General features: G+C 41.9%; 1 long non-coding RNA gene across 7 annotated transcripts in view; it reads right to left on the reverse strand.

Moving 5' to 3' along the window:
• Positions 1–1363: 1363 nt before the first annotated feature.
• Positions 1364–25413, reverse strand: part of LOC102724687 (uncharacterized) — a 233269-nt gene continuing 209219 nt past the window's right edge. For 4 of the 7 annotated variants that reach the window (XR_929013.3, XR_929012.3, XR_001745952.2 and 1 more), the window contains 3 exons: positions 23290–23474; positions 13887–13958; positions 1364–12807 (listed from right to left, as the gene is read on the reverse strand). This is a non-coding gene — a long non-coding RNA (uncharacterized LOC102724687). Of the gene's footprint in view, positions 12808–13863; positions 13959–23289; positions 23475–25413 lie in introns of all 7 variants that reach the window. The other 3 variants (XR_007060949.1, XR_428359.4, XR_007060950.1) reach the window with 1 other exon arrangement.

A 25413-nucleotide genomic window follows, 5' to 3' on the forward strand; every position in this document is an offset into this window, starting at 1 on the left:
CGGGGTAGAGAGTCTTTACTTAAACATAGGGCATTACCCCTCCATACATCCATATTTATGTGCCCTCTTAAGATCCTTCTAAGATATTTTTAAAAACAAAGGCTAAGCTCTTTAACCATAAGAACCCACTGTGGATGCAGGACATCAATACATTTCCAGGGGGGAAGACATTGGGTCATTGGGTAGGTGCTGACTGATCAAACAAGGTGGAGGAAGCCACAGGAGACAGTAACAAAGAAATAAATACAGCCATGCACCTTACTGAATCTTGGAGAGACTTGGGATTCTGGAACACCAGTTATAATTAAGCATCGGAGCAAGCCACAGATTGATTCTGGACTGGCATGATTTTGCCCCACCCTCAGGGGACATTTGTCAATGTTTGGAGACATCTTGAGTATCATGACTGGGAGGTGCTCCTGACACCTGGGGGTTAGAAGCCAGAGATGCTGCTAAACATCCTACTATGCACAGGGCAGCCCCCTTGACAAAGAGTCATACAGCTCAAAATTGTCAAAAATCTTAAAGTTAAGAAACTCCACTCTACACCCAAGAGTTGATCTCCCACTCTGAAACCTTCTCCATATTTGAAGACTAACAGATATCCATCTACCTCACTGTTATGGGCTGAATTTTTCTCCTCAAAATTTATATGTTGAAGACCTAATCCCCAGTACCTCAGAATGTGACTGCATTTAGAGATGGGGCCATTAAAGAAGTAACTAAGTTAAAATGAGGCCTTTAGAGTAAGCCCTTATCTGATCTGACTCATGTCCTTATAAGAAGAGGAGATTAGGACACACAGAGAGACACCAGCGATGCACATGCACAGAGAAAAGTCGTATAAGGACACAGAGAGAAGGCAGCCATCCGCAAACCATGGAGGAAGGCCTCAAAAGAAATCAACTCTGCCAACACCTTGATCTTAGACTTCCAGCCTCCAGAACTGTGAGAAAATGAATTTCTGTTGTTTAAGCCATCCAGTCTGTAATACTTTATTATAACAGCCCAAGAAAACTAATACACCCACTATGCAAGTAATGAGAGGGTTCTTCTCCAAAGAAATGGGATGAACACAGAGAAAAGACCTCCAATCTGGTAATTATGGGTCCCCAGAATTATTGCCCACTCCCCTGCATCACATTAAAGGGAACTGCCAACCTACAATCACTGTTCCCCACCCACCCACCCCCACCTCACACATACACAACACACAGCTCAAGATCAGCTTATTGTCTGGCTCTTAAATGTGATGTAACACCCAAAGATCTCTGAGGAACATCTACAACCCAAAAGAGAGAAACCAAGATTAACAAGCAGCATATGCAACGTTGGAAAGAAGAGAAATAATTTGGAAACACAATTTAACCTTTAAAAACTCTTTAATAAATATTCTTAGAAAGAGTAGTAAAAAAAAATATTGCATCAACAAAGTACAACTAGCTAACAAGGAAAAACTATTGAAAAATAAATATATGAGCCCGAAATTCTAATAGTAGGTAAAATATAATAAAACCAATGTTGTAGAACAAAGGCAAGAAGATGTAAGAAAATGAGAAAGGTAAGATGTGTTGAGGATCAGTCCAAGAGGCCCCACATCTGATCAATAGGAGTGACAAAAAGAGAAAAACAAAAAGAAAGAAATCAAAGAATTATCGCAAAGGATTGTCCCAGAGTCAAAGGACATGAGTATCCAAATTAAGAAGCCAATCAAGTACCCAAGTGCTCAAGTTGACAACTCACATATGTGCATACACATGCAGACATACACACACACATCTAGACCCATCACTATAAAACTTCAATACATCCATAATAGAAGATACTGAGAAGGTTTAGCAGGAAAGATAGAAATGTAAAAGATACCTGTGAAAACCAAGAACTTCAACCAGCATCAGACCTCTCATCATCAGCCACACTAGGTCAGAGAAGATATATTCTGCACATGAAGTTGCCAGATGCCCCCAGGAGTTCTGGGATTCATGCCTTGGGTGGTTGGCTTGAAGTCCTTGGCCAAGCCCTGATTCCAGGAGGGATTCCTGACAAGTGAATTGCTCCTGCTGCCCAGTGCCATATTTATTTCACAGAATCCTATGAGATTGGGTGGCCAAAATGGCAGCGATATGATGATTTTAAGTGACTCTCAAATACATCACACCCAGGACAAGTTCAGTGCTCTGAGTACTGATGATGGTCCATCACTGAACCTTGGCCTGAACTATATGTGTGAGCCCCTAGGTGAGCTCTCATCTGGATTTGTTCTGTAGTTTCACTTCTGATCTTCAGCACCCAAGTGCAGCTGGGGTGGCAACAGGCATCCTTTACTCCATTTGACTTTACCACTGAACCCAGGGTGGTCATCCCACTGTCCCATTCATCTAACAGGCAGTCTTTTGACAATGGCTACATCTTTCTCTACCTGGTGCTTTCAAGATCTTTGCTCTGAAACAGCAAGGGGCTTTTCCAATTGATGTCCTCCCCTGCCTCCACAGATGTGGGGATATCAAGCACTCCTGGATCAGTTGAAGCCATTCCTGATGAGAGATGTTCCTTGTGCCAATGAGGCTGCTCTTCTCATTCATTTAGTCCTCTCCACTGGTGGCAGTGAGTGGAAGGCAGGAGTGCAGTTAACATGAAAAGAATCACTGTCTAGGAATGTAGTAATTACAGCATAGAGTTTAAGAGAAGATAGAGTTGGAAGACATGCTCTATGTTCAGATTATAAACAGTAAATTCAACATAATCAGAAAACAAATTATTGTTCACATTTTCTTGCATACTCTGGATAAGACTTGCATTTTTGGTCATCAACAATGAAGCACAGCAACAACTTTTGAGAAAGTCATTGAAAGCCAGTATTCATGGTGCAGCATCATCTATAACAATATAACCAGACTTCAATAAATTGTATTGCAAAAGTAGTACAGATCTATATTGTTCATTGTAAACAAGTTCCCAAGAACTTGGCATTGTGAGTAATGACAGTATTGCTACTTTTCTTCATGACTGGAGATATGGAATTAGCCAAGAACACAGAGATAGTGCCTGGACATTATGAAGAAAGAATTTTCACATGCACTGATTAAGTAATGAATATGTAAGTACCTCATCTGTATCCATTATTCTGAATGACTTTCAATAAAACACTATACCCCACGTGGGTCCATGAATTTTGTAATACTTTCTTAGTCAAATTATTTATTTAGAAAAAGGTCCCACAAAAAAATATTTATCTGAGGCCCCACACATCTAGGAGCAACCCTGTTGTTAGGGAATTACTTAAGGGTGTGCCTCAGCCCAGCAAGTAAATCAAGAAAACAGAAGACTTGGGGTCCAGGAAACAGGAGATTCAACCTAGAAAAGCAAAAAAGGCAAATCTCAAGATAAAAAATATAAACCCCAGTCTAGATGTCAACCAGTGTTGATCAGAAGGGAAGAACAGAGTTTCTGGGGGGAGAGTAGAGAGTCCCTGTGGAATGGAGAGTTACTGATCTTAACAGTTTCAAGGTCAAGCTCTTAGACTGCACATGTACCCTAAAACTTAAAGTATAATAATAATAAAATAAAGAATAGCTAATATAATTTTAACATTTTGAAATAAGTAAAAGATAAGGCAAAATTGCTATGAAGAAAAATAAAGGCAATTAGAAACTCTTGGAAAAACAAAATGCTGTACAAAACAGGAAACTAATCAATGTATTCCACTTGATTCTACAGTAAACCACATTTACTTAGCTAAACACTGTTAATTGATTTTAAGCTTTTATACACAACCTATAAACAAGGCATGAGACACAATTGTGCTCATAAATAAAATGTAAATGTCATCAACTTTTAACAACAGAGAGATAAAAATTCAAATGATAAAGACTGGGAAGTGAGAAGTAATGCACAGGGGTGAAGGAAAAGTTGGATGGACTCATCTTTCAAAGTTGTGAAAATCAAGGATTCATCAAAATGTGGAATCAAGGATTACAGCCCAATGACAAATGTAGAAATAAAATTGTATACGTTTTACAGTTACAAAGTTATCCCATGGAGAAACTAAATGTAGTGATAAGACTATATTGGGAGGATGGGTAGAGAAATGGGGAGTGTAATAAACTAAATACTCATATATTAGAGCAGTACATACTAGACAACATATAACATTGAATTCCTTGAATTTATCAGGATATTAGCTTCTAGGGAATGGAATTTGAGACACAGTGGGGTAGGAAATTGCTACTTTTCATTATAAATATTTGATTTTAAAAGTATATACAGACGTTTCTTTCATAAAATTAAATTCTAAATACAATTTTTTTAAAAGGTGGCTATACAAGATTATTTCTAAGGTTTCTTTTATATCTAAAACTCATAGAAAGTGCTCCCAAACCTGAGTCTACTCAGGAGGAACCCTGGAACTTTTCCCTTCAGAAAGTCTGGTATATATTCAAGCTGACTGTCTGATCAGGAGCCAGTTCATGCCACTAGGAACCTCACAAACATTTTGATAAATGTCAAATTTTCACTCCTGACCTTATTTTATCTTCTCAACAGCCCTCTGAAGCAATTATTATGATCATCTGCACTTCAAAAATGGGATTCAATGGGACTAAATTAATTGTCCTGAATGACATAAGTTTTAAATTGTTAGAATGAGATTAAATTCATGGCCTCACCACACTAAGTCATTTTCTCTTCCATCACATTACGCTTTTTGTTGAGCAGAAAGAGAAAGTAAGAACAATTATCTGCCCAAGAGCCAATCCTTCAGTAAGATGTCGATATAAATGCACTGCCCTGAGGTTATAGGGTAACTCCTTTGGGAATCTGATGGAGCAGGCTAGCAAACTACAGCCTCCTTCTCCACTTGGGGTCATGAATATCAGCCATCTGACAACACACTTCACCAAGGCTGTGAGGCTTATAATGACCTGGAAAGACTCATCCTAAGTGATTGGCACCAACACAGTGTGCAGCATCCAAAGGGCACTGGATGAGACCATTTAGACCCCAACTGAGCACTGTTCCTTATCTTTGACCCACTCTCATTCTTGACGTCTTTTGCAAGTCTCAAGTCGTGATGAGACACTCCTGCATTTCTCTCTCGTGCTGCAGTGAGAATGCTTTCAGCACAGGCAGCCATTCAGAGTGGGAACTCCAGGAACACTCTTGAGATGCCACTCACACCTGCCAAAGAGAACTCCCAATACCTGTCTTCCCAGAATGTGCTGTCCACTCAAGTTACCTGCATCAAACTCATGCTTGGTGCTGCTGGGCTGCAGAATTTCTAAAGAAGTTGTTTACTGGAAATATTATCACACAGTCCTTTACCTGCAGAAACTCCATGAAACACTGGACAGAGCTTACATAAATTTCCACTGAAAATATTACTTACTCCAAGTGGATCTGCCACATGGGTAATTGCAGCCTCGTAGCAACCTTGTGAAGTCAGTGTGGTCCCCCTGGCTCCCACATGGTCCCTCTGGCTTCCTTTTCCCTCCTGGGATGCTGGCTGCTCAGAGGTGGACTTCATGGTTCTCCCCCAGGTGGGCCAGAACAGCATTGCCTCCTCAGATCTCTTCCTTCTTTCCCCTTATCTCAGAGCTACGCTTAGGAGACAGACCAGTGACTTGATAACTAACAACACCAGATGGTAGGTATTATTGTATTGCCCCTCCCGATAACATGCTTGCATTTTGCAGGTGATCTCTGGTGCCTAAATTTAAAGGCTTGGCAGATGGAGGAATGTGTGGGCCCTATGTGACATAGGCCTCTTAGAAGTCCTATGGTTAATTGCCCTGCTGTAGAAATATGCAACATTTTTCTTTAGACACCTATATGTTTATCAGTATTATATTTTGGTATTATTTTACTTTTATAGTCAAGTCTTATTGGTCATAGTATGATCCACTTTCTCAAAAATATACTGTTCAGTAAAATAAACTCAGAGTAATGATAGAAATCACCCCCTAACTCCAAAGAAATATATATACAAAGTTTCCTTGATATGTAGACTTCTATTTTTAATTCATGTTGTTTTTGATATTCAAAAGAGACATAAAGGAAATACTTTTAAAGGCTCAAAGTCATACTTAAGAAAAAACATGAAATAAAAAGGTAGCAAAATAAGTATGAAGAAAAGAGCAACTTACATATAAATCATCTAGAATCAATTTTTATACTAGACTCATATATTCTAAATGAGAAAAAATCTACAATGCTTTAAATAAACACACAGGCTTTCTCCTTTCAGAAGGTAAAATATATAAACTTAGCCTAAATTTCTTGAATGGATATGCAATAAACTATTTATAACATCTTCCCTGTCCTACTTAACTTATGACTAATCCTAAACAATTAGAGAGTCAGATGGCTGAGTATTTAAAGAAGCAAACATCTCAAATAAACAAAGGGTCATTTCTACCTGAAATCCAGAGCCCCACATCCCATATAGCTATGGGTCCACTTAGCAATAGCTACAAATGGAAGCTGCAGAAGTAATTCTGCAGAATCCTGCAACCTAGAAGTTAGGAAAGATGAGAGTCCCTTAAGATCTGGATAGTGTAGTCAGCCTGTGGGGCCAAGGAGGACTCCCCAGGTACCTGTAATAGCTTCAAAAGCAATTTTCAGATTTCTGTAAATTTCATGAAATTCTTCCCAGGTGGACCCTCCTCTGGAAAATTGGAAAACAAAAACTTACACCCACTCACTGCTGATTCTTTACAATGCTCACATCACTAAAATCTCTCAATCCCCCCACGATAAAGCTTTTTCTAAAGCGAGGCTGGGTCTGCCCCCAAAGCCTATCATTTCACTAACATTTAAAAATATTTTCTCAACATTCTCAGGCAGTGTTCAAAATCGGCCTGATATATATAGAGCCTCCTTTGTGGAATAACAAGATTATTTTTATCATTTTCTGATTCTCAAAAATCTGACCTGTCACCAAAGAACTTCTAAAAATATCAGGATGATAATGATATCCTTCGTCATATCCTCCTGGCTTACGGCTGCATTTGTAGAGCTGGGTTTTTATTTATTTTCTGAGGGTCCTCTCTGATCACAGTACTCATCATTTCATTGCTTCAAGAAGATGTGAGACAGAACAGCTATCTTGGGAAGGTGGTGGATTTTGTTTCCACCTTTAAAGACAAGGAGTTTTTGTGCAATATTCAGTTCAATTCACTCTCTGCCTATCTTTTAAATCTCATATTTTTGTTGGAAATATATTGGAATAGATCCTAGAAAACAAATGCTGACTGAGGAGAAGCATTTGTTTTTTTCCCACAGCCGATTCAATTCAGCAGCAGCATTACTGAGTGCCTACCATGTGCCAGGAATATAAAGATGAATAGAATATTCTTTGCCCTCAAATAGCTCATAGCCTACAGGACAGACAGTCCCATTAAGAAATAACAAAGTATCCTGTGAGAAGAGCTATAGTCTTATTGCTGTTTATATAAACTTACAAGAATGGGAACACCAAAAAGGGAACTACAAATATGGTCTAGAGAAATCCGAAATGTAATGGGAAACCAAAGATATTTTCAAGATAGATGCTGACAATTTCTTCCTCGGAGATTGTGTCCCATTCTTGATATATCTGGGGTTGAAAAAAAAAAGACCTTGTTTTAGAGAATTGTGAGCAGCATCTGCTCCTTGGGTAGAATTTAGAAAGTATCCTTGGGAATATATTGGTTTTGGTAAGTCTTTTTCAGTCATGTGTAGATAGAAGTACCTACTCACTGGCCTTGCAGGAGCCCTGGACAAAAGGAAGCTTCCAACGGCAGATGGTTCACCTGGAGAAGGTTCACTACTCTAGCCGTGACAAATTCTCTCTTCACATTGGGCACGCTGTATCAATTATCTTGTCAACTGTTATATTGTCTATCGTGTCATCAATGGGTATTTCCTTCTTTTGGCTGTAGATTTGTGGGGGATAAGATGAAGACTTCCGTGCATTAAGAACCCTGGACCCTTGTTCCAGTGGCAGCAGGCTGGGGCCACAGGAGAGACGGAACCTATAGAGCACTGCCTTTAAAGGGACATGATGACAGAATTCAGGAATAGTGATACATGGTACCTTATTTTAGGTTTTCCTTTCCTCCGTATCAAAATTTGTTAAATACTATTACCTCTTGTTGTTGCATTGGTAAGCATTGGAGAGTAAGGAGCAAGTACTGTATTCTTGCTTTGGAGTAAAATGGACTAAAAAAAGGCTAGCAAATGATCACAAGTGATCGTGAAGAAGCTGGGAGCAGCAGACCAGAGCAAGAAGGCACACAGGGTAACCAGAATGGACTTAGGGAACATGTGGGCCCTCTCTGAGCATTCTCAGGAATATTTAGGGAAGGAGGCAGGATGACCCATTGGCCTCAATCAATTGGACGTTAAAAGAAAGAGGTGCTGTTCCCCAACTCCTCCCAACCCTGACACATGCCTTCACATTGCAAAGGCTAAAAGAACTTTGGAATAATCTCCATTTTTCAAGAAACAACAACAGTTCTGGGTTTTGAAGAATGAGTAGATGTTCACTGGGCGGAAGAGAGAAAACAAATGAGTAAAGACTTTTAGGGAAAAACAAGCATACGCTGGAATGGCTAAAGCAGAAATCTCAACCACAGTGTCATGACTCATGGATCTGTTTCCTATTCTAAGCCTGTCTGAGGTTCCACATCCAAATTGCCTTGCTTTTCTCTCTTGGCAGCATGTGCCTTACAGATATGCAGCTTTCTACTGTCCCTAATTGGCTAACCAGCCTTCCATTTTTTTCCAACTTCCAAAATTTTGGTTTTCTCTTTCATCATATCTCCCCTCTCTTGTTCTTATAGGTTCATGTATTTTAAATTATTTTACTGTGAGGTTTTGGACAAGAGTGGAGATAAATGCATGTGTTCAATCTGTGTTCTCCTTTCCCAGTTATATTTTATTTATCTATTCATTATTGTTCCACGTAATGGAGAAAAACATGATACCAGGATCTTGATTAGAAGTAGCACTCGAACCCTAAAAGGGCTTATAAAATCACAGACCCTCACTCAGGGTTAGAATGAGCTGTAAAAGTCAACCTGTCTAAGCTCCCATCAGATGCTTAATTCTGGAAACTCCTTTGCTTGCCTATTATAAATTTAACTTATTGAGTGAAAATGTTGAAAAGCTGTGTTATTATTTCGCTTATCATCATTCATCATGTTTAGTAATTATCAAAATAGCTGCCACTTATGATGCACATTCCATACACACCACCCTGTGCTGAGGGTCATTTATGCCTCCCAACAGTTCTATGAGGGAGGTGTTATTCCACTGTCCCCACTCCCTGTTTTGCAGAGAAGGAAACTGGGATTTAGCTCAGGTTTAACTCACTTCCCAGTCTCTTGTAGTTTGTCCATGGCAGGCAGAGCCTAGTTTTAGACCACTATCGGGTTCCAAAGCTTATCCTCTCAGCTGTGATGGTTTCCAGATTTAGGACTATGTGACTCTGAAAGAACTGCATTGTTCTGCAGGGTGGCTGGCGTGTGCTTTCTTCTTTTCTCCACTGACAGCTTTAGTCGCTGATGTTGTTGCCATTGCCCACATTTGAATCCTCAGGGTTATGACCCACTGTAGTCCCAGGCTGACTTCTGTCTGCTACCCAGATGACTTTTTTTTTTTCAATTGATACAAATTTAGGAAACAAAAAATAATTTTAAAATTCATTTTGCCCAAACAATGCAGGTAAATATGTTGTCAAAATGATGTACAATGCACTTTTAGGCAGTCTATAAATGGCACTGCATTGATTATCAATTACATCCATCATATCAAATCACCATTGTTAATACATTGAGTACAGTTGAATTAAAATGTTGACCAAACCAAAAATTTCAGGTTTGGTGGGTTTGGTTTTTTGTCTGTTTGTTTGTTTGGTAAAACAACCACATACTTTTTCCTGTCAATTTCAGTGGTTGAGGGTCTACTGTTAAAATAGGCATATAAAGATAAACTACCCATAACCCCAAAGCAGATAAGACAGGACCAAGTCACAGCTCTGTGCTTGCTGCGTCTTTTGAGCAATTCACCTAACCTCTCCAAGACACTGTTTCAAAATCTGTAAGAAAGAACCCTAACACACAATAGCATTTTGAGTGCAACTGAGACAATATATGTATAAGTGGTCAGCACAGAGTTGGAGCTTAATAAAAGCACGTTTACTAGCTTTATCCAAGAGTCTCCAGCAAGTGTTGAAAAAATACTTTTGGAATAGATTTGATAATGGGAGATAGACATTGAGAATACATGTAAACAAATAGAAGAGCTTGGATGCCTGAAATCTCATATATTCATAAAGCATCTCCAAGATTCCCAGGGTTGGCCCCTCTAGTTCTGACAGCTATACTAGTCATGGGACTGGACTCAGAAACTCAGAATTGCCAGCCCATTTAACTGTGTCTTGATCTACAATGTTGTGTGAGGCACGCAGTGTTGCCTGTGACCTCCTATACCTCCATCGCTGCTAGATGCAAACCCTGCTCAGAAAAACTATGAACATGCACAGTTCAGAAGATATGAGAATTGTCTCCTAGAGTCACTATGGGGGTCTTCTGAGGATAACAAACACCATGGGAAAGGCAACTTATTAAGGTACATATTACAGTCTTCTAATGTCTAAAGCCAGCTAGACATACATTTAAATCCCAGCAGAAATTCTCTGAAAGGTTTGCCTCCACCCTAGGTCTTCCAACATTAGAAGAACTTCAGAGAGAAAGTAGGACATTTTGTCTCTCTTGGGTATTTGGGAATCAAGGTGCAGACTTGGGGTAGCATTGGGGGTCCCATGAAGAATTGAATACCTAGGCTTATATCAAAGCCGCCCCTACCTATACATGCTCCCCAGTGGCCCCTGTGGCCCAATATTCCAAGAATGGCTCGGGGAATGGCCAGCTCCCCCACAGTCATTTCAGATTGGAGCAGGCTCCTTAGAAGTCCTTGGTGTCCGAGACTTAGTCCCACAATGGATGCTGGATATGGGTCAACATCCTGGATTCATGGAGAGAGGAGGGCATGTGGCAAAATATAGTTAACTTACATTATTTCTTTCCTCATTATCCCCTCAATTGTCCTTATCCTAGAGACATGTACCTCTCAGTCAAGAAGTCATTCTGACTCTCAAAGACTCCTACAGGAAGGGGGTTGCTAGTATGGCACCATGAACAGGGTTCTTAGTGGGCTGAGAGCTGAGATGGAGCTCCAGTCCCAGGTCTGTCACTGATGGAATACATCAGTCAAATTACTTCATCTCTCTGGGCCTCAATTTGTTTGTTTGTTGTTTAATTATTTTTAAAACTTCTTCAGTGAGAGCAGGGGTCTTGCTTTTCTCTATATGGGATTGGATCGTCTCTCTTGGCCCTTCTAATTCCAATTATCTCTAATGTTTCTATAAATCTAACAGGAATGAGCTGAGCTAATAGAATCATATGGCTAATAGGGAACATTTCATAGTTAATACCACAATCAAATACTTCTGTTTTCTCTGTTGAGTATTTGACGGAACCAAGAGTTATAGGCTGGGATTTCTGGATCCTGTCTGTGTTGTACATGCAGAAAAAATGTTGAGAGCTGTGGCCTTTAAGCTGTTGAAAAGACGTATTTCTCATAATCTAGGTAGCTTTGACACTACGCACCACAGCCTGACAATTAAATTTCTCTTTCTCTCTCTCCCTAATTTCAACCAGTTGATATGCCACATTGAAAGTTAAACCATTCTGATGCGAAGACATCTCTTTTCTTCAATCAGAACCCAAAAGGCTGTCAGTGCCAGTTTCCTCATTAGTAACCAATCTGCTTGCCCAGACAGTGCCTCACAGTTTGCATCCAGTGAAAATGCTGCTCCCTGAGAACAGAGGAGCAAACACAGCTGAGGAATGGAGTAGAGGTTTGCAGATGGCCCCAGGAGCTGAAATTAAATGTGCTGCTCACCTCATCAAGACAGGGGAAGTGAGTGCTGTTGAAGCTTAAGAGAAGCGCTACTGATCAGTGACATGTGCATAGTGCCTGAAGAACATTATCCTTGGCTGATTCAACGAATCACTCAGCTCAAGTCTTGGCTTATTTCTGCTTTTTCCCTTCATTAGGTGCTCTTTTGAATCAGTACAAGCAATGCAGTCTTCTCTAAGGTAGCTGCTGCCACCTTAAAGTAACTAATGAGCCCCATTCCTTTTCTGCCATTACATGGGAAACACACAGTATACACCAGGCATCTTAATCTTCCACTTTAGCTTACTGCAGAGCACAAGAGGCTGTCTAGAAACTTACTCTGTATTACTCCAAAAAGCTTTAAGGCCCTTGAGCAAATGGACCTCAAGGAAATCTGCTGAGGGTGGTTTGTCACAAAAAACAAAGGACCCCCAAGTCAGATGGCCATTAGTCCCAATAGAGGAAGTAAAACAAAGAGGGCACCAAAAGAAAAAAAAAATGGTTTGCACAGAATTCCATGTGAATATCTTAGTAATAGTAATAGAAGTGAGCAATGGAAGGTGGAACAAAAATTCTGGAACTCTGGAAGGTCCTAGCCAGAGAGAGCTCTGGATCTGAAGGGAAGGGAGGTGACTGGAGATCCTGCAGAGCCCACTTTTTTGCAGGCATCATGATGTTCTCTTCATCCCCCTCTGCCCCAGCTGATGTAGCCAGTGGTTCTTCTGCTCTGCAGTCTGAGGTCCTTTCAAAGAGATGAGTGAGCAATATTCTGCCTTCAAAGGCTCCTTTATTCCTTTTTTCTCTCTTTAAACAGGGATCAGAGTTGAATGACCTTTTTGGAGATTTAGATGATAGTACCCCACTTTACTGTAAAAGAAAAAAAAGAAAGCAAGAAAATAATTTGTTGCATTAAAACATATAACCAGGAAGGCCAAGAGAGTGGGTCATTTGAGGGTACGGACACTGTAAGTCTCAACAAGAAGAATGCTTACTGCATGTCCTCTGAATACCTGAATACTGTCTTCTGTCACAGCCTGGTGGTTATTTTAATGCAAATACTTTATTTTTAATTTTTTACTGAAGAAGATATGCATAGGGAAAAGTGCGCATTTAAGTGCATAGCCTCACATAATGAACACACTCAGGCAACTGGCACCCAGAAACAGAAAGACACGGGAAGCCCCTTCCCCAAATCTCCTCCAGGCACTCTGCCCCTGAAGAATAACTATTATCTGGCCTTAAAACAGCATAGATTAATTTTGCTGTGTTTGTACCTGATATAGCTGAAATGATGAGTGTGATCGCTTGTGTCTGTATTATTTCCCTCATCATTGTTTGTGGGATTCATCCATATTGTTGTGTGTAGCTTATATCAGTCTCCTCACGGCATGTACCACAGTGAATATGCCACAGTGTATGCATTCTGCAGCTGAATGGCATCTCGTTAGCTTCCAGCTGAGGGCTATTTCAAATAATGCTGCTACCAATGGCTTGATACATGTTTTTGGTACACATAAGTAGCAAGTCATAATTTTTAGTAACACTTGTTGTATTAGTTCATTCTCATGCTGCTAATAAAGATATACCTGAGACTGGGTAATTTATAAAGGAAAGAGGTTTAATTGACTCATAGTTCAGCATGGCTTGGGAGGCCTCAGGAAACTTAATCATGGCAGAAGGGTAAGCAAACACGTCCTTCTTCACATAGTGGCAGCAAGGAGAGGTGCTGAGCAAAAGGGGGACAAGCCCCTTCTAAAACCATCAGATCTTGTGAGAACTCACTCAGTATCACAAGAACAGCATGAGAGTAACCACCCCCATGATTAAATTACCTCCCACCGGCTCCCTCCCATGACACGTGGGGATTATGGGAACTATAATTCGAGACGAGATTTGGGTGGGGACACAGCCAAACCATATTACCTGGCCTGAAAGAGGATGCTTACGTATTTTTCTGTTTTCCAAGTCCCATTTTAGAAATCTCAGTAGGAAAGTGTGCGTTGAATGTATTTCAGAATCTATTAGAAAAAAAATAGGAAAATAAGATGATTTGATACTCACATCATCTCTCCACAACATTTTGGCAGTTTGTTCTCCAAAATCAAGCAGCAATGACTAAGATTACATGGCAGCTCTGATTTTCATAGCTGTGGGACCACCGCATTCTCACCTGATAGCCTCTTCCAGCCTCCCAACAACAACTTGTAATCACCTCAGTCATGTTGTCTATTTTTAGCTCATATAAAATTCTTTCTCTTTTTTTCAAAAATACTTTTTCCAAGTCTAATGTTGTCCTCCTAAAAATTCTCTGGTGATTTGAAAATTAAAATATAAAGATACACTAGTTCAGCCTAGTATCCCGTTTTCAAAATGACCCTGAAAAATGTTTTATGGGAATGAGGAAGAGAATAACCTTTCTATTTTCTCAGAAGAGATCCTGTATTCTGTATTTTAATATGGAAATCAAAATGAGCTATTTGAAAAACAAAAAAAGAAAAAGCTGTTCCCAGGCTGTGTGAGGGAAAAAGCTGGAGGTGAGGAGTGGGGTAAAACATGGCTCCCAAATTCTTTACCACTCCTTCCACCAAGAGGTGGAGTCTGGGTGGTGCATGACAGCTTGACCAATTGAGAAGCACAGACAAGGCACTGTGTAGCTTCAAGCCTGGGTCTGAGAGGGCCATGCAGCTCCCTCTCGGAATCCAGTCACCATGCTGTGAGATGCCCAAGTCACGTGGAGAGGCCACATGGAGAGGCCAGGTGTAGGCTTTAGTCAACAGTCCCAGCTGAGACTGGCCTTTGAGTCATCCCAGCTATTATGGGTTGAATTGTGTCCCCAAAGTTGATATGGTGAAGTCTAACCTCCAGTCCCTCAGAATGCACCTAATTTGGAAATAAAGTCATTGCAGATATAATTACTTAAGATGAGGTCACATTGCAATTGGGTGGGCCCTTAATGTGTCCTCACATAAGAGACACATTAAGTGTAAGACACAGACACATGGAGAAGACAGCCATGTGAAAATAGGGGCAGAGACTGAATGATGCTGCCTCAAGCCAAGGGACACCCGTGGTTACCAGAAGCTGGAAAAGGCAAGGAAGGATCCTCCCATAGAGGCTTTGGTGGGGTATGGAACTGCCGATGTGTTGATTTTGAATTGTGAGAGAACACTTTTCTGTTGTTCCAAGCCATTCAGTTTATAGCATGTTGTTATAGCAGCCCTGGAAAACGAATACCCCAGTCCAGATGCCAAATGTGAGAGTAATGCCAGCCCCAGCTGACCAAGTCTTCCCAGATGAGGACCCAGCACTGGCGAACACACAAGCCATCCCCACTTGGCCCTGTCTCAATTACTGCCCCCACAGAATGAGTGAGCATGATACAGTGATGGTTATTTTATGCTTCTAAGTTTAAGGTGGTTTGACTTGCCCTGATAGTAAGTGGAGAAGAAGACATCACAGTTTCAGACCCAGGTGCCTCGGTCTACACTACACAAGGGGCAGACTAGTCATCTCTGCTGTGAAAGTGTGCTGAGCCCCAGGGTCCTTTGACAAAGAAGAATAGCTCAGTTGATCATCCCGCAAGAAGCATGAGCATTGAACCAGGAATAAGACGCAATGTGTATTGACAATTTACTAAAAGCCAGGTAATCCTCTAAGGCAAGCTTGTCCAAACCACAGCCCACGGGCTGCATGTGGCCCAGGACAGCTTTGAATGTGGTGCAACATAAATTCATAAACTTTCCTAAAACATTATGAGATTGTGTTTTTTGTTAGTTCATCAGCTATCGTTAGTGTTTGTGTATTTTATGTGTGGCTCAAGACAATTCTTCTACTTCCAATGTGGCCCAGGGAAGCCAAAAGATTGGACACCCCTGCTCTAAGGATTTCACATGGATTATCTCATTTTGTCTTCCCAACAGCTCAACAAAGTAAGTCCTATTATGAAGGTCATTCTTATAAGTGAGGACACTGAGGCACTAAAAGGTTTAAAAAACCTGCCCAGAGTCACAGAGTTAGTACATGGTAATATATAGGCTTCACACGTAGGGAGATGGCACCAAGAATCAAGAAGCTTACCACACTCATTGGAAAGAACTGATGTGATGGGGCTAGTTTCCAGAGGAGGACAGTGGCCTGAGTGTTTATCCACTTAATGGACATTTCTTGAGCTCTGCTGTGTCACTGAACCATGCTCTTATGGAAGGCACAATCTAATGGGGGATTCAGACATGTATGTAAACTCACAGATATCTTTTCTTTTTAGTTTAGGCCAAGGCTAAATTATTTCAAAAGAAACTGTTGTAATTAGGAAAATGAGAGAAAATAATGCAAACAAGAAAAAGGGAGCAGTGGGGTTCCCTTGCTGATAGAAGCAAAGAGAAAGTTGAGATCAAAGACAGTTATAGTTCTTAACTATGAACAGAAAGTTTGGGACAAGTCAAGCAGTGGAATGAGAAATTCAGCAGCAGCCCGGTTCTGTGAATCTCAGCAGTGCACTATAGACTCTCCGGGCCCAAGGTGTCCGATTAGATCGGACCCAGCCCAGCTGGGACAAAAACACTCACAAGCACATCTAGATGAGCTCACTTTTGGACTGCATTTTTCCCTCAATCAAAATACATCTTTTGGGGTCTCAAAGAAAAGGAAAAGGAGGAAACAGCAGAGATAATACCTCCAGTAGGAAAGGGCATTCTCTGGCTCTCCCAGTGCTCAGGACAGCCTGAGCTGTCTTCCCCGGAATGGTTACCGGCACTGATGGGAAAACACTTTCCAGACTTGAGGCATGCCTGTCATGGTGGCCCTGGCTGTCATCCAGCCACTCTAAGGTGTTGCCCTCTTTTGCAAAATTGGCAGATATAGGTCAATGAAGCCCCTGACCTTAGCTCACTCCCCTGGACTTTTGTCCCTCCAGCCCATCACGACTGCGTTCACCATTTCTTCAAGTGGAATGTTCCTTCGACAACTTAAAATAGTTTCAAAAAATGTTTCACAGAAAAGAGAAAAGGTCAAGGTTACAGGAAGCTGGCTCACCTTTTTTTTTTTCTTTTTGACCACTGTCAGAAAATGATTTTGTGAGCTAAGATAAGGACTTTGATTTTTATTTCTGAAATATTTTATTACTGTTTTAAAAAGAGACCGTGAAAAGCACTTCAGGACGTTCAGTTAGGGAAGAAGTGACCTGGCCCCAGTCCATGGTTTCCTCACACCCTCCATCACCTCCAGTGCCTGCTCCTCATCTATAGGAACTGAGGAGACTGGAACCCCTAAAAGCCAAACAGCTTTCTAGCTTCTGTTCACCAGGCAGCAATCCATTACCTACTGATTTCAGAATAAGGGAAACATATTTCCAGTAGAACATACAGTATCTTCCTTTGAGGATCTTTTTTTAACCTCCATTATCTTTATTGCAGCCAATGGACATAGAGGTAGGGAGACAACCACAGCACAGGTGGAAAGAGTTCCAAATTCTCCTAGTTCCCCCTGTGATGTGCGCTAAAGCTCTCAATGATATTTGCCCTTTCAACATAAAAGTCAATCAGATAAAATGGAAGGATGGAAAGTCAATAGATGGTCCACTGGCAGGAAGACTGTCTTTGCTCTCTTCTCACATGCAGATGAGGGACATTTCCCTCATCTAGTTACCTTTGGCGCCAGAAGCAGTGTACTTCGTGATTGGGGCAAACTCTGGGCCAGATCTTGTGGTCTGAAATTCAGACTCTGCAGTTTACTAACTGTGTGATTTTGAGTGACTGCTTAATCTCTCTGGGCCCCTTTTCTTCATCTGTAAAGTGGGGGTAATAATGGCATCCACTTCTTAGGGTAGTTGTAACCAATAAATGAGTTAATACAGGAAAGGCCCTTTAATAACTATGCCATAATGTTTTTGCTATTAGTTTTATTCCTGTAAGAAAAGGAGCCAAAGAGTGGAATAAGATGAGTTTATATTGAGATCCTAAAAGACAGAAAGCTAGTCCCTGTTTCTCAATCCTCCTTCTAAAGTCACTTTAACCATCAGCTCCCATCTATGCAGACAGCAAACTCAGCAACAAGAAAGAGCCCTTAATACTTCATCTCAAGTCACCAGAAACTCATAGGAAGGCACAGAAGACCAAGTTACAAACTACTCCTTTCATTCCTGCATACATTCTCTATACCTGTTGACAAGCTGCCCTGTGGTGTATCATCTGTAGGGCCAATTAATCAAGGATTATTTGAAAAACATTTTGGAAGAAAAAAATCAAGCAATGGATAAGGTTGAGCGGATTTGCCTAGCTGTCAAATTGCATAATGCCAAAAAGTAGAGTGAGAGGAAAGTGGGTAAGAAGAGCTAAACCATAAGGGTTCCCTTCCTTCCACTTTTGTACCAGGCCTGCCCTTATTTCATAATCAGTTTTCTTACTGGCATGGTGGTTCACACCTGTAATCCCAGCACTTTGGGAGGCTGAGGCATGAGGATTGTTTGAGCCCAGGAGTTTGAGACCAGCCTGGGCAACATAGTGTGACCCCATCTTTACAAAACAATTTAAAATTAACTGGGGATGGTGGCATGGGCCTATAGTCCCAGCTACTCAGGAGGCTGAGGTGGGAGGATCACCTGAGCCCGGGAGGTCAAGGCTGCAGTGAGCAGTGATCACGCCACTGCACACCAGCCTGGGTGACAGAGCAAGGCCCTGTCTCAAAAAAAAAAAAAAAAAAAAAAGTGTTCTTTCACGGTGATGTGTCTTAGTCCTCCTCCATTACATGTCTGTATTCCCTAAAGTCTATATCCTTCCTCCTAGCACAATGTCATACACATATCTCTCTTTTTTTTTTTTTTTTTTTTTTGAGACAGAGTCTTGCTCTGTCGCCCAGGCTGGAGTGCAGTGGTGTTATCTCGGCTCACTGCAAGCTCTGCCTCCCAGGTTCACGCCATTCTCCTGCCTCAGCCTCCCGAGTAGCTGGGACTACAGGTGCCCGCCACCACGTCCGGCTAATTTTTTTGTATTTTTAGTAGAGATGGGGTTTCACTGTGTTAGCCAGGATGATCTCGATCTCCTGACTTCATGAGCCGCCCGCCACAGCCTCCCTAAGTACTGGGATTACAGGCTTGAGCCACCGAGCCCAGCCATATCTCCCTTATTTTTCCAAAAAAGAATGACTGGATGGATGGATAGATGAAAGAAACATATATACATATGTGATAGGTAGATATACAGATGATTGAGAGAGAGATGTGAGTTTCTTCCTATACTTAATCCATTTGAAAGACAAGTATCTAGTTTTTCACAAATATTCACGATCTCAGTTATGGAAATCTCTGGGTTTCACCCGAATCAGTTTTCTGTGCAGGCATAGGCTTCTTGTGTATTTCATTATAACACAAATTTTCTTTTCAATTTCCACTAAAATTTTATCTCTCATTTGATGAGCAATTTTCATACTAGCTGAGACACCAGCTGAAACTGTTTTACAAAGTGTTTTTTCTTTATTTCTTTCTTTGGAGAGTATATGGTGAATTGCTTGTATTCATAGGACCAGGTCACTGCTGAATTTTACATTCTATTGTTTCATTTACCCCAGACTTTGGTTTTCTAGTTAAGAACTAAAACTGTCTTTGATCTCAACTTTCTGTTTACTTCTGTCAACAATACTTGGTCACCTTTCCTTTCAAATCTTTTGTGTGTTTTTTTTTTAAACACAGAAAAATCAGTTTTCTTTTACTTCACGAATACCACCATGAGATGTGGAGGCCTGGGCAGTCAGCTAGATGAACTCACTTAGCATCTTGACCTCAGACCAGTCTGGAAATATGACACCTCATGGCACTTGGTCCCTACTTGAGCCCCCATGACATAATGTCTCAACTTGCAAGTCACCTTCATACATATTTGTATTACTTGTCTCAGCATAAATGAAATGCTTCAGTAACAACCAAATCTCTTATGTATAACCATCTAAAGAGAGGTATCAATATTTCAAAACATTTTCTATAAAGTAAGATAGTGAGCAGATTTGGGGGTTTTGTTCTCCAACTTTTTTTCCAGTGTCTATTGGAGATAACACCATTCACTTTAAGCTTTAGAGATGAAGGAATATTTTTAATAAGGAGTGATGTCAAATAGTGTATGCTATAAAGTAGTATGTGTAACCCAAATACAGTATCCTTGCTTTCCAGTTTCTATTCAAGAGTTCAAAAACGAGCCTGTTGGATTTCTGAACTTGATTTTGAGGCTTGAGCATATAGAGTACTACTTGCTTTTCTGGAATTACTTGGCTTGAGTTACACCCTGTGAAATGTTCCAGGGATTGCTGTCTATTCATTTTGAATCTATCTAATTCTAAGATAAATCAGATAACACTAAAGATACTTCCTTTATTGCCCAGAAATAGATTGAGCTTCAATTTCAAGTCTGTTATTAAAACTGCAAATGCTTCCCCTAGGAAATCTTCTTCAAGATTGTCCTTGAAGAATGGAAGCTGCTCCTGGGCTGAGTATTCTTTTTTCTTCCTCGTTGGCCCTTGATCTTTCTGCTTTCATCTTGATCTCAGCCCAGCTTGTGCCTCATTAAAACCACCTCACTGTGGACTGATGAATGAAAAGGAAATCCGTGCCATATAAAAGAAACCCCTTCCTGACAATCCAGCACCATAAAAGACAAAATCTCTTCATTGATAACAATGCTAACATTGGGGCAACACTTGAGTGGATTTTCAAAGCCCTCAGTTCCATGGGCATTCTCTCCTTAGAGCTCTGAGGTTGGCAATTCTTACTGTGAAGTGGTGGCAATTATCCATCCAGACCTCTTGACTGTTGTGAGACAATCCTAGGACCTCCATTCAGGGCATTAGATGTAACTAAGCTTCTAATTATCACATTATGCAGCCTGGAAATAAATTGAAATCTGAGATTTCATTCAATTAAGAAAAGGCACCCGGAGTCCACTTAGCGATGCAGTGCCGACTAGAGCTGCTCATGGCTGACCCAGCTGTACCTAAATGGCGATGTGGCTTCTCCACCATGCTCACACTTTACGGTGATTGCTTTGCCCAAATCAATTGGGCAGCAGTGTGTCCGTTATTAAGAGACCTGTATAAGTCCATCCTTTTCACAAAACAGACACTCTCACATAATCATTGAGGGGTGTAAGCATCATTTGAGTTTACAGCAGTTTTCCCAATGTCAGATGTCAGAATGCCCTAAGGTGCCTGTTAAAATATCCTACTCCAGACCCACCAAAGCAAATTTTCCAGGAGATTCTTATGCTCAGGAATGTATGGGAAACACCAGTTTCATAGCAATCTTTATCTTAAAAATGGGTGCAAAACCACAATTCACTTTTATCCCAAACATTTATGAGGTGAATAATGTATCCTTTCTGCAATATTCTCTGGCAGATACAAAGAGAAATTAAATAATAAATCAATAATAAAATACATCCATGTTATGTACCAGGTGCTTTGTATAGTCATCTCCAGATTTTCACAACAAATATATGAGGTTAATTGTAGTTTCCCATCTTACGGATAAGAAACTGAGGCTGAGAAAGAATAAGTCACTTGCTTAGTTGCATAGCTGGTAAATGGTGGAACCCCAGTCATTCCAGCTCCTCATCCCATGTGCCAATCATTACTTTCCTGGTTTCCCTTTCTCCTCGAGCAAGATAAGATGTGTGCTTGGAGCACAATACAAGACAAAATGTGTGTGGGCCCCGTGAGGCTGGAAATGCCAAGTTCTAACAGCGCTAAGCGAAGAACTGTTGATGTAGTCTCCATCGAGTCAGAAAGACTTCAAGAAGGAAGCAAAGGGGTCAGGTAAGATGAGGTAGGTGGGAAGAAGGGAGTGTTATAGGGAGGAGGAAGGGCAATAGGGAAAAGAGGATATTGCTTTTTAAAAACAATAACCATAAGCATTTATTAAGCACTGAAATGCCAGGCAGTTTCTCTGTGCTTTAAATGTGTTCTCACGTTTAGTTTAATGCTCACATCAGCCTAGTGAGAGCAGGGACTCAAAGCCCCCTTTCGACTTTTTTAAGTCCGTTGTCACAGAGAACAACTAAAGTTCTGTCCACTTCTTTCCTTCCCTCCCCTTGTCCCTTGTGAGGAAATTCACACTCCAGTCAGGAAATTCACACAGAGTGAACCTTCTGCAGACAGGCCAGCTGGTGCTGGGAGAGGGCCCAGTCCAAACGTTGGGAACCCCAGAGAAAGCTTTATTTCATGTTGCTAAGCAAATGCTGAAGTATGTGGAGCTTAGGTAAACCACTTGAAGTGAACTAAATTGTTCATAATAATTAAATGTTCCGGGCTCTTCAGAAAGTTCCACGGCCATTAGTCATGTTCTTTGATCCATGAACTTGCTCTCCTCAGAATGTGAATCAGAGGTGAGGCCCCTTTGTGTGTGACACTGAAGGGCCCTGAGACAGGGGTGGGTGCGGGTGACGGGGGTGGTGGGTTAAGCATGGCCAGCGCTGCTCAGAGAGACAGGACCATTTCTCGGCTTTGTAACTGTCTTTAATGTTCTTTTTAAAAACTTTACACTAAGAATTGCACAGAACTGGGGACTGGACTTAAAATGATTGAATTTGGTCTCCCTCCAGTGCCCCATCCTTCCCTTCCCTGGCACCCAGCATCTTTATGCCCCAGGCACCAACGCTGTCAGGGGAACCTGACCCAGGAGGCAGACTTGTCATGTGCTGCAGCTGATATTCTTCCTCTCTCACTTCCTTGCAATCTCTTATCAAAACTCACCAGCATAGAGTCCCATTCCATCACTGCTAAAGGATAATGATGAGAAAGGAACAAACTGTCCCTGTTCTAGGAGGCACATCACAGGTGCTCTTCAAAAATTAACTCTTCCAATATTCACCATAACTTTAGGAGTAAGAAATATTTTAATTGATGAGGAAAATAAGGAGGGGTTGAGTGATGGAAGTTTATGTTGTTAATAAGCGACAGAGACAAGATATGAATCCAGGACCAAGTCAAAAGTCAATCATTTTCTACTGTACATGAGTTAGTTTGGGTCCTTGGAGAAGCAGATGCAGAGTCAGGATTAAACATGTAAATGATTTACTGGGGAGCCCATGTTAAGGAAAGGGGAGGGAGCAGGAGCAGGCAAGGAGATCCTGCAGGTGGAAATGCAGGTCTGGCCCCTGTGAAGGAGAGAGAAAAGGGCAGGGATGGGCTGGGAGACCGTTAGCCACAGCACAGTTCCTAGAAAGGTTAGGCCAGCTGATGGGGAGCCCTGAGCCAAAGTTGCCTGTTGGAAGAGTCCTACATCTCTAGAGAGATCTAGAGGTCTTTAAGAGCATTAGGACCATGCCATGCTCAGCCCTGGGCTGGGAGCAGCCTGGGGGATGTTGGCCTCACTGTGAACAGGTGGTAGATCCAGACAGGAGCTGCTGGGCTGTCAGTCAATGTTCTCTGCAGCAGGAGATCCGAGGTCTGAGTTGTGCCTCTTCATGGCCACCGCAGTCACAGTTACCCACACGGCAAGATCTACTTTACACAGATTCAGGAAGCAGCTCCTCCATGGATCCCATAGGTCACTCTTCCTGAGGAGAGATTTAGATGAGAGAGGTTAGGAATACGAACTACAGTGCTTCTTGTTAGTCCTGGGACCACATCTGGTTCTCATCCTCTGCCTCCTCCACTGTCCGTTCAAAAGTCCCTCATCCTCAGCTATCACCTAGGCAGGGCTCAGAGGACAGGGCTGTGACATGTGTCCATTCACAGTCGAAATGGGGCACAGGAGTATTAGTAGGTATCCAAGTGGATGCCCTGGGTTCTGGGTTATGCAAATTCTTCCCTGTCCCCATTGTATAGAAGCACCCTACCTCCTCCTGCTGACAGGGGCAGTGACGCCCAGCAGGATGGTGAGCCCTCTTCCCACCAGCTGGTCCTTCAACACAAGGAGTCCAAAGTGCCTTTGTGGCAATCTTAGCTTATAGTGCAATGGGACCCTTGTTGTGCCCTCTTGCAAGAGAACACCCCCCACTGGGAACTCCCAATTGTGAGAAAAGGAATCATAAAATCCCTGTGTACCTTTAGGAGTGATAAGTAGAGTCACTCCTGCTTTCACCTCTTGGTTCCAGACCCATGCATTCTTCCATAAGGAACACAGTGGCATATATAGGCCTCTGATTTAACGTATGCATGGCTACAGCCTGGAGGATGGCTCCCACTCTCCGAATGCTGCCTCCAAGCTGGCTTTTGAGCTATGCCTTTAGGAGGCCATTCCAGTCCTCCACAAGGCTGGCTGCTTCTGGATTGGATGTGTGATACATGGTCATGGGACCACTCCTGTACCCACAGCTAGTTCCCTGGTCAGGTGTTATATTGTGTGTGAGCCCATACCTGTGAATAGGATATTCTGTAAGTCCAGTGATCGTGCTAGCTGAGGGGCTGACATGGAGAGGCAAACCATGTCCAGAACAGGTGTCTATTCCTGTGATAATAAGTTGCCAACCCTTCGGGATAGGAGGGGCTCAATGTAGTTGGCTTGCCACAAGAGGCTATCTGTCCCCTCAAGGAATATTACCATAACAGGGGTTCAGTGTATTGTCTGTGGCTGACAGGTTGCACACTCAGGCAGCAGTAACTCCCATGCTAATTGGGACTCCCTGCTTCTGGGCCCAAACTCAACTTCCATCTCCTTCCCTCCGTGCATGTGCCCTTTCTGCCAGTTATGGTGGCTGATGGCAAAGGCTGCTAACCTCATCTGGCTGAGCCACTTTGTCTACTTGGTTATTCAAGTAACCAAGTAACCAGGTAAATGCTTTCTGGTGCATGCTACTATGTGATACAAATGTGTTCCCACATCAGTACATCCATTCCCATGCCTGTAGCCCAGACCTCCTTGTCTCCAGTCTCCCAGTTCTCCCCTTACCAGATGTCCAAGCCATTGGCCACTGCCCAAAAATCTACTTCTGTGATTTATATTATCATCCCCTACCTCAGAAGAGCACCATCAACAAGCCCTGTAGACTCAGATTTCCCAACAGACATGGTGACCACCGTGTCATCTGGGCCCTCTCTGGGAATATAATCCTCTGATCGGTCTCCTGGTCTTGCATAACACACCCACTCTAGCATACCTACTTGCCTGCGCTTTTTTATGCCTTCCTCTACTGTCTGCCGAGGAAACTCTTGTATTTTCACTTTGCTCAGCAAGGGCCATCACTCTTTCCAGGTTTCTATGAGCCACTCTAGCAATGAATTTGCCTCATCCCCCAGGGTGGTCACTAGTATTCAATCCCATGTCTCAACAAAGGTGCCCAAGAAAATGAGTTTTGTTAATCATACACTCCAGCCCCTTTGATCCAGCACCCTCAAAATCTATTTCCAGGAGTACTCCTCTGATAGCAGCTATATTCTAGCAAGTCCTGAAGCCTCTTCAGTGTATAATCTCTTTCCTCCTTCTCAAGCCCAGCAAGTTCTCAGCCAGATAATGCTGGGATTTAACCTGATGTTCACCTGGCAGCCAGGTGAGGA

Source organism: Homo sapiens, chromosome 8 (genome assembly GCF_000001405.40).
Source record: "Homo sapiens chromosome 8, GRCh38.p14 Primary Assembly".
In the NCBI taxonomy this organism is placed as follows: Eukaryota; Metazoa; Chordata; class Mammalia; order Primates; family Hominidae; genus Homo; species Homo sapiens.